Source organism: Homo sapiens, chromosome 3 (genome assembly GCF_000001405.40).
Source record: "Homo sapiens chromosome 3, GRCh38.p14 Primary Assembly".
Lineage (NCBI taxonomy): Eukaryota > Metazoa > Chordata > Mammalia > Primates > Hominidae > Homo > Homo sapiens.
In genome coordinates this window covers 48,973,273-48,983,168 of record NC_000003.12, presented here as the reverse complement: position 1 = coordinate 48,983,168, position 9,896 = coordinate 48,973,273, and the positions used below count along the sequence as shown (strand labels likewise).

The 9,896-nt window shown below is 46.7% G+C and overlaps 1 protein-coding gene across 37 annotated transcripts in view; it reads right to left on the bottom strand.

The window, feature by feature from the left end:
- ARIH2 (ariadne RBR E3 ubiquitin protein ligase 2) overlaps positions 1-9,896 on the bottom strand; it is a 67,541-nt gene that overhangs the window by 3,214 nt on the left and 54,431 nt on the right. For 20 of the 37 annotated variants that reach the window (NR_146085.2, NM_001349210.2, XM_024453309.2 and 17 more), the window contains 7 exons: positions 9,353-9,470; positions 8,302-8,352; positions 8,190-8,211; positions 3,536-3,687; positions 2,673-2,816; positions 1,441-1,509; positions 190-273 (listed from right to left, as the gene is read on the bottom strand). Coding sequence is in view for 33 of the 37 variants with exons in the window: in NM_001349210.2 (NP_001336139.1) it covers positions 190-273; positions 1,441-1,509; positions 2,673-2,816; positions 3,536-3,687; positions 8,190-8,211; positions 8,302-8,352; positions 9,353-9,470 (640 nt within the window). In the remaining 4 variants the exon portion in view is untranslated. Of the gene's footprint in view, positions 1-189; positions 274-1,440; positions 1,536-2,672; positions 2,817-3,535; positions 3,688-8,120; positions 8,212-8,301; positions 8,505-9,352; positions 9,471-9,896 lie in introns of all 37 variants that reach the window. The other 17 variants (NM_001349213.2, NM_001349216.2, NM_001349214.2 and 14 more) reach the window with 3 other exon arrangements.

Here is a 9,896-nt window from a genome sequence, read left to right as displayed (position 1 = left end):
ATGGCCCAGGCCTGGGAGCAAGGAGTAGCCAAAGCCACAAACACCCTCCAGGACCTCCAAGGAGTCAAAAACACTGCCCTTCCCATTCTTAGCAGCAGCTACCAGTGCACAAGCCAACAACGCTGTCACCTATTACCATGCCAGTCCTCTACCTGCAATATAGAATCCAAGAGGACAGTAGGCACTTACCCCTCTGTCATAGCTGTCTGCACGCTCCACTTTCCATGAGAGGTTTTCGATCTCAGCCTCCAGCTGAGCCTGCTGGTATTCAAACTGTATAGGCAGAGCAGGAGGGTCAAAAGGTGAGTGGGCTGTGGCTGGGGCAGGGCCTGTACACGGGGGTGGGCACATGCAGCACCTCAGGCTCACAGGAACTACAGACAATCCTGATACTGTCCTCAGAAAGTAGTGTTATTCCCTGTGCCCAGAGCCAGAATCCAAACAAAAGGCTATCCAAACAGCAAGGCCACATTCACCCTCGACCCTCAAAAGGTCCACTCCACCCTCCACACTCCCAAAGGCAGGCAAAGAATTTAAGCCACTAAAGAGAACACTCCCAACATGAAAGGGAATGGATGCTGTAAAAAATAAGTCAAATGAATATTCTCAGACACTATCACTTCATTTTTTTCAGTCCTCCAGCAAATCAAGAGCCTTAAAAATATTCAAACTTAAATACTTAGTAATCATACATCTAAGAAGATATACAGCTTTATGCACAAAAATATTCCTCAATGTCCTATTTATAGCAGTGAAAGAAAGAAAGAATAAATGTCCCAAGTGATGGTACAATCATGTAATGACACATTTATGCAACCATTAACAAAATGGTATTTACCAGGCAGGTAAATCATAACAGCTATAACAATAAACTGTTATAACAATAAAATGTTATATATAACCTTGATTATATATACACAATGTTAATTTTAAAAGGCTGGAAAATGCTGACAGTGGTAATTTCTCTCTGGACAATGTAAATGCTTTTCTGTTTTCCAGCATTTAAACAAAAATGTTAATTACTAGTTTATTAACACTATTGGTAATAACAATAAATTCATATTCAAATTCAACTCTAAGATGAAGAATTAAACAAGGTATAAAACAGTCAAATATATCTTAAGGACATGCATGCTAAATATCCCTCCCAAGCATGGGCACTACTGGCCTCCCACTGGCCACAGACCTTTTTAGCCAATCGCCCTTTAAATACAGTTGTTCAGAGGATTAGGTGCATGTGCCTTATATGACACAAAATAATAGCACCTGAGATCTATTTTGGAGGTGCCCAGAGCAGAAGTGGAATTTTGCAATTAGAGTTTTGTTTTAACTTTGCCCTCCCAATGACCAAGGTCTGGTCCTCACTCTCCTGCAAAGTGCTGGTAGAGAAGGGCACCTTTGAGGCTAACGGGACAGAGTAGAAAAATTGCTTTGCCTTACCAGCTTCTTCCTGGGTCCGGACTCCATGTAATATGCATATGGGTAGGTGTATTGCAGGGTGTATCGACACTGCAACAGGAGAGAAGAGAAGGAACCTGTGTCTGTGATTCTAAGCTACCTGCATCTCAGGTGGCTCTTACAATTCCTACCCTCAACATGCAAATTAGCCCAGCTCTATAGATATAGGCCTGAAAGAAATGATACTAGGCCAAATAGAGGATGAATTGGGAAAAGACATGAGGGAAAAAACAAACAACGATGGTCACAGAACACCCACAGTTTCTTTTACAAACTGATTATCAGCAGCTGCCTCAATGGATTTTCCCTCTTGAGTAGGACATCAGAGTCAACACATCTATCTCAATGCTTAGCCAAAGACAACCTTTTTTTTTTTTTTGAAACAAGGTTTTGTTCTGTTGCCCAGGCTGGAGTGCAGTGGTGCAATCCCCACTCACTGCAAACTCTGCCTCCCAGACTCAAGCGATCCTCCCACCTCAGCCTTCCAAGTAGCCAGGACTACAGGTGTGCATCACCACACCAGGCGAACGTTTGTATTTTTTTTGTAGAGACGGGGTTTTCTCATGTTGCCCAGGCTGGTCTCAAACTCCTGGGCTCAAGCAATGCACCTGCCTTGGCCTTCCGAAGTGCTGGGATCATAGGCGTGAGACACTGCACCCTGCCCAATCTTTTTTTTTTTTTTTTTTTTTTTTTTGACAGTCTTGCTTTGTCACCCAGGCTGGAGTGCAATGGTGTGATCTCGGCTCACTGCAGCCTCTGACTCCCAGGTTCAAGCAATTCTCGTGCCTCAGCCTCCCAAGTAGCTGGAACTACAGGCATGCACCACCATGCCCAGCTAATTTTTGTATTTTTATTAGAGACAGGATTTCACCATGTTGGCCAGGCTGGTCTCAAACTCCTGACCTCAAGTGATCAGACAATCTTTTATTTTCCTTTGAGTGATACATAAACAGGACAAAAGGAGAAGAAAAGTGCTCTAGTTTTCCCTGCAGGCAGAGGCAGTGCAACACTCTTATAAATCCCCTGGACATCCATCAGAGGACTGGGTCCTTAATGGGCACAGCACATGAAAATGTGGATCCACAAGCAGAAGCATGAAAGGCTGCACAGGGTGCTAAAATACCCTCTTTCAACAGAGCTTCCCACTATCAGAGGTCTGTGCCTGACGGAGCCAGGCACTGGACCAGGGATAAGATGAGTGAAGTGGTAGATACCTTGGCCAAGAGCTTGGCAGCATTCTGTAGGTACTGCCAGTCGATCCATGTCCCCAGATTGTTCATGACCCTCTCCTGAATCTTCTCGTGAATCCGCTGGTATGTCTGTGCCTCTAGCTGCAAGCTTTTATTGTGGTTTTCCCACTACAGGGCACAGAAGAAGAAGAAAACCACAGGAGTCCCATGAAGGTGCAGAGGTCTACACAGGAGTTCAGGATAGACACCTTGCTGGCAGGACATGGCCACAGACTCCTCTAACTTATTCCCCAAAGTGCAAGAGCAGGTCTTCTTCAGTCCATCCTTCTAACCTGTCCAGAGCAGCTGTATGCTTACTGCCAGATCGCTCTACCCTTCTGGGGCAACAGGACTCGAGCCCTGAGGACTCTGCAAAGCTAGGCCCCTGATGGTCTACTATGCTTAGAGACCATTATGCATGGGGCTCTTTGGGCTTCTAAAGGGCTCCCTGGGAGAAACTGCCTTCCAAATCTGACTACTAAGATGATACTATGGGAACAGATTGTGAGGACAGAAAGAAAAAAATAAATAAAAATTAAAAACGTAGAAAAAAGAAAAAAAAAAAAAGATGGTACTAGATGGAAAAGACTGTCTGATGGCCCTTCATTGTCCTTCAATCCATCATTCAACCAAGGTCAGTACCAGGTCCTTCCCTGTTGGCTGGGGATATACCCTATAGAGCTTGAAAGGCACATCTATAGAGGCAGCACCAGGGATACTGCAGGAGCTCCATTCACTGACTTCTATGTGCACAGGCTAGCTCTGTCTACCAGTCCCTGGGAATCCCACCAGCAGGCCAAGTGGAAGAAGCCTACCCTGTAGGGGAAGGTACAGGAGAGGACACCTACCCTCTCAAAGTAGAATAAGTACTTCTTGAGGGCTTCCCTCGCCTGGGCTTGTTGGCTCTGGTTCACGATGTCAGGATTCTCCTTGTAACGACTGCACTCATAGTATTCACTGCCATGAGTCTTCCAATCTCCTAGACACATCCAGCAGAAGTCTGTGCAGAACAGAGGAAGAGTCATTTACATCTACAAGACAACTCCACTTTCCTCCATAGGCAGAGGAGTGAGACAGACAGACCCTGCTCCCAAAGGGGTCACCTGAACACAACTTCCCAAGGGTGCCTCTTTCCCGAAGGAATGTGCACCTCTCATCCCTGTCACATCCTACTGTCCTTGTAGCCTGTACTTGCTGATAGGAACAAAAGCCTATGGATAATTTCTATTCCATGAGCACATGTGCCATGCGCCTTATTAATCTAACACAGGCAGATGCTGACCATACAGACTACTGGTCTGCTATGTCAATGCCACTATAAGAAGGAGGAACTAGTCCAACTGAGGCCGACCTGACTGTCTTAAACGCACATCATCAGTACAAACTGACCTCCCTACTGCTTCCTACCCTCACACTTGTCCTAGAAAGATTTTTGTATATGAAACTAAGAATAAAGGCTTTCCCCCTTTTTCTTCTATTTTAAAAAACACATTTCTTATTTTTCTTTTTCTTTTTTTTTTTGAGACAGAGTCTCACTCTGTCACCCAGGCTGGAGTGCAGTGGCGCGATCTTGGCTTACTGCAACCTCTGCATCCCAGGTTCAAGCGATTCTCTTGCCTCAGCCTCCCGAGTAGCTGGGACTACAGGTGCCTGCCAACATGCTGGCTAATTTTTGTATTTTTAGTAGAGATGGGGTTTCACCATGTTGGCCAGGCTGGTCTCGAGAACCCCCAGTGTTCAGTGATTCGCCCATCTCTGCCTCTCAAAGTGCTGGGATTATAGGCGTGAGCCACTGCGCCTGGCAAATAACACATTTCTATAAAACCTAGAGCTATCCAATGGTTCATAATCAGAATTATGATTCTGCTTTTGCGGTAGCTCACACCTGTAATACCAGCACTCTGGGAGGCCAAGGCGGATGGATCACCTGAGGTCAGGAATTTGAGACCAGCCTGGCCAACATGGTGAAACACCCGTCTCTACCAAAAAAAAAAAAAATATATATATATATATATACACACACACACACACACACACACACACACACACACACACACACATACACAAATTAGCCAGGTGTGGTGGCACATGCCAGTAGCTACTTGGGAGGCTGAAGCACGAGAACTGGTTGAACCTGTAGGGCGGAGGTTGTGAGCCGAGATTACACCACTGCACTCCAGCCTAGGTGACAGAGCGAGACTGTGTCTCAAAAAAAAAAAAAAAAATCCCCTATATGTTCAAAAAATTATTGTTAGATGCTCAAAGAATTACTGCAGTCTAATGGAGAGAAGCCAACCACAGTTTTGTTGGATGAACAATGGCCTGTTGATATTCTGCATTCCATGAGCACATGGGCTATGTGCCTTGTTATATCTGTGTCAAGGCTGCTATGAGAAGCAAAACTTGTCTGAAGTCCTCCTGGTTGTCTAGAACACACATTGTTCTAATAATACCTTATTAGATTTTATATCTGGCCTATTCTGCCTCTTCCAGACCCTGACAATGGTAAATCCTGTTTCCCAGGATTCACTCTCCAGGGATAACTTGGCTTACTGACTTCCCCAAAAATGAGGCTCTTGAATCATTTTAGGGAAGCCAAAGCAAAACCCGGAGACCCAGAGGTTGTTCAATTTTTCTCCTCCTGGGAGCCTTCACCTAATAGTGGCAACAATGCCCTCTCCTTAATTAGCTAGGTGTGCTTGCTACCATTTTAAAGAACAATACAGGCCGGGCACGGTGCCTCACGCCTGTAATCCAAGCACTTTGGGAGGCCAAGGTGGGCTAATCATGAGATCAGGAGTTCACAACCAGCATGGCCAACAAGGTGAAACCCCGTCTCTACCAAAAATACAAAAAATTAGCTGGGTATAGTGGCGGACGCCTGTAATCTCAGCTACTTGGGAGGCTGAGGCAGGAGAATCGCTTGAACCCAGGAGGCGGAGGTTGCAGTGAGCCGAGATCGCACCACTGCACTCTAGCCCAGGCGACAGAGTGAGACTCTGTCAAAAATTAGCTGGGTATGGTGGCATGTGCCTGCAGTTCCAGCTACTCAGGAGGCCGAGCAAGGATAATTGCTTGAACCTGGGAGGTGGAGGTTGCAGTGAGCCGAGATCGCACCACTGCACTCAGCCTGTCAGCCTGGGTGACAGAGTGAGACTCCATCTCAAAAAACGAAACAAAACAAAACAAAAAACCACATTCCCTACGGTTGCCCATATAGGTGGTATAAAACATACAGCAAAGAAAGAGATGGCAGTTTTTTGTTTGTTTGTTTGTTTTTGAGACGGAGTCTCACTCTGTTGCCCAGGCTGGAGTGCAGTGGTGCGATCCTGGCTCACTGCAACCTACACCTCCCTGGTTCAAGCGATTCTCCTGCCTCAGCCTCCCGAATAGCTGGGACTACAGGAGTGCGCCATTGCGCCTGGCTAATTTTGTATTTTTTTTTAGTAGAGATGGGGTTTCACCATGTTAGCCAGGATGGTCTCGATCTCCTGACCTCATGATCCGCCCACCTCGGCCTCCCAAAGTGCTGGGATTACAGGCGTGAGCCACCGCGCCCAGCCAGTTTTTTTTTTTTTGAGACAGAGTCTCGCTCTATCGCCCAGGCTGGAGTTCAGTGGCACAATCTCGGCTCACTGTGACCTCCACCTCCGGGGTTCAAGTGATTCTCGTGAGATGGCAGTGAACTCTGGGTGTCAAGGGATATGGACACCCAGGGGGCTTCTTAGGCACTAGGAATGTGGTGGGTGCTGGGATGTTTGTCATTATTCTTTAAACTCTGTGTCTTCTGCATTGTTCTAAGTGTATGATACACTTCTCTCTCTGATATATACAAAGAAAAAGAGAGCGAAAGAATGTGGCCCCACAGAAGAAATATGCCACTACCCATGGCCTATCTTCGTTTGGCACTGCAGAGTCAATGTTGCTGTCTAAGATCCTGGCATGACCACTCTGATTGAGAGGGCTCCTGGGGCCGGGAGCGGTGGCTCACACCTGTAATCCCAGCACTTTGGGAGGTCGAGGCAGGCGGATTGCCTGGGGTCAGAAGTTCGAGACCAGCCTGGCCAACATGGTGAAACCGCATCTATACTAAGAATATAAAAATTATCCAGGTGTGGTGGTGGGCGCCTGTAATAGCAGCTACTGGGGAGGCGGAGTGAGAATCGCTTGAACCCAGGAGGTAGATGTTGCATTGAGCCAAGATCACACCATTGCATTCCAGCCTGAGCGACAAGAGCAGAACTCCATCTTTGGAAAAAAAAAAAAAAAAGTACAGGCTCGGTGGCTCATGCCTATAATCCCAGCACTTTAAGAGGCCAAGGTAGGCGGATCACCTGAGGTCAAGAGTTGGACACCAGCCTGGCTAACATGGTTAGACCCCGTCTCTACTAAAAATATAAAAAAGTAGCCAGGTGTGGTGGTGAGTGCCTGTAATCCCAGCTACTCAGGAGGCTGAAGTGGGAGAACTGCTTAAACCCAGGAGGTGGAGGTTGCAGTCAGCCAAGATCACACCACTGCACTCCAGCCTGGGCGACAGACTGAGACTCTGTCTCAAAAAATAAAGAAAAGAGGGTTCCTGGAAATAGCATTTGCATAGGCCCTTACAAAGCAAAATTCTCGGTCGGGCACAGTGGCTCACTCCTGTAATCCCAGCACTTTGGGAGGCCAAGGTAGGGAGATCACCTGAGGTCAGGAGTTCGAGACCAGCCTCGAACATGGCAAACCCCCATCTCTACTAAAAATACAGAAATTAGCCAGACGTGGTGGAAGATGCCTGTAATCCCAGCTATTTGGAAGGCTGAGGCAGGAGAACTGCTTGAACCCAGGAGATGGAGGTTGCAGTGAGCCAAGACTGCGCCACTGCACTCCAGCCTGGGTGACAGAGTGAGACTCCTTCTCCCAAAAAAAAAAAAAAGAAACTGTCAGGGGCTCCTGTTGAGCATCAAAGCAGCTGCGTAGAAGACCCACTTGGACATATTTTCTACTTGAAGGGATTCTGTTTCTTCAGTTGACCTGGCCGGATGGCATACATGGGTTCTAGCTATGTAAATTATTCCTGATGGATGAAGGAGGTCTGAAAGGCTAAATCAAAACCCCCACTAGAAACTTTGTAAAACGGCAAGGGAAAACCATTATTTTACTACTTCTGGTAAAGGTATCTACAACGTAGCACAGATAAGCCCCAAGCTACTTACCTGCCTTGGCAAAAAAATGAAAGCAACACCCTGAAATCATCTTCTTGGATAACTGAGGATCATGAGGTTTATCCCAAACTTGACTTCTGACTATATGTGTTAGCAAGATAGCAGTGGGATTATAAGAGGGACCAAAAAACAGAAAATAAAAATAAAAAGCTACTTTATGCCAGTTACTGTGACTGTTAAGTGACTGAGGTTCTTCTATGTTTTGTCATTTCATGGCAGAAGTACTCACTTAAATAGTAACGGAGACCCAACCACAAGAAAGTGCCACTGGGCCTTACACACCAAGCTTGGAACTCACCGTGTTTACATTTGGAGCATTGCTGTCAGAGGGAAACAGAAGAAAACACGTTAAGGGCACACTGACCAAAGCTTCCATGTCACACATGCAAACTGCAGAGGCTTCTGCTCACCATGTGATTGCAGCCTCCATTCTTCTCAATGCAGATGTTGCACTTGGGACACTGAGGAGACAGAAGGGTGCCATTAGGCTCACACACCACCAGGTTGGTTTTAAGACAAATTACACAAAGCTCCTGGCACCTGTGCCCAGTTGCTCATGGTGTGAGCACTTCTGGGGAGGAGCACCTCACTTAAATGTGGCAGGTCGCTGAGGCTGGAACAGCAATTCAAGGAAATGAGGTCAGCACATTTAGCTTTGAAATGCTTCAAGCACCAGCTGAACCCCACTAAGTCTTCCACCATCTGCCCCTGCCATGAAGCTACTCAGATTAAGCACAAGTTGAATCAGCAGAAAGCCTGCCTTCTTGAGAGGACTGCCAAAGAAGCACAGGAGCTGCCACAATGGATTCAGTCCTGGTCAGCTTGCCTGAACTTCTGCTTCGAGAAGAGGGCAAGGAAACCACATCTAAAGCTCATCTCTCCCATTTGAGAGATGCCAGCAACCTGAGGCAGCAATGAAGACACCAGTCTGATGCTGTGATCTCCCACTGCCGTGAAGTCGACTATGTTTAATAATGTCGTTATCGTAACTGTGCTTGTGAGTGCACTGACTCGGCGAGTGACTGACAAAGGGTACAGTGGCCCCTAGAGCCCACAGGCCATACTTTCCCATGGGAGACTTCAAAATGAGTATCGTGCAGGTCTGGGCTTGCATTACAGCCTTATATGTATCAAGTGTGGCTATTAACCACCTCCCTTTCAGGGCTGTTAAAGGCTGGTAGGCGTTCAATCATAATTAGTTCTCTTCTAATTAGCTCCCCCTTTGGGTCCCCCTTTCCTGGCATTTTGGCATTTCATCATAATAAAGAAAATATGCACCCAATGCATCCTATAATAAACTGCTACGAGCTGCCAACTCTGTGTGAGGGTCCCCAAACCCCCAGTCCTCAGGAAGGGTCCTGGGGCTCTGGGTATTCTGCTCTCAGATGGCAAATCTCCAAGGCAAGGCCCTGGGCAGCACTAAGGAGGGCAAATCCATGAGAGGTAAAATACGGTCCTTACGTCTTTAGTGTGAGCACTAATGTAGTTGGCTGTTTCAGAGTCGTCTGCACACTTCGTGAGCCATTTCCGGATTGTGGCACAGTCTGTGGGTGCGTGATACATCTGACGACACTTGAAACTTAAAATTGGAAAAGAAAAACATTCAAATATTCATTAAGTCAGGGTCCCATGTTCAAAATTTTCCTTTTATCCAAGCCAACAAATCATGAATTAGAGCTTTTTTCTTTTTTTTTTTTTTTTTGAGACAGAGTCTTGCTCTGTCGCCAGGCTGGAGTGTAGTGGCGTGATCTCGGTTCACTGCAAGCTCTGCCTCCCGGGTTCATGCCATTCTCCTGACTCAACCTCCCGAGTAGTTGGGACTACAGGTGCCCGCCACCATGCCCGGCTAATTTTTTGTATTTTTAGTAGAGACGGGGTTTCACCGTGTTAGCCAGGATGGTCTCGATCTCCTGACCTCGTGATCCACCCACCTCGGCCTCCCAAAGTGCTGGGATTACAGGCGTGAGCCACCGCGCCCAGTCTAATTTTTGTATTTTTAGTAGAG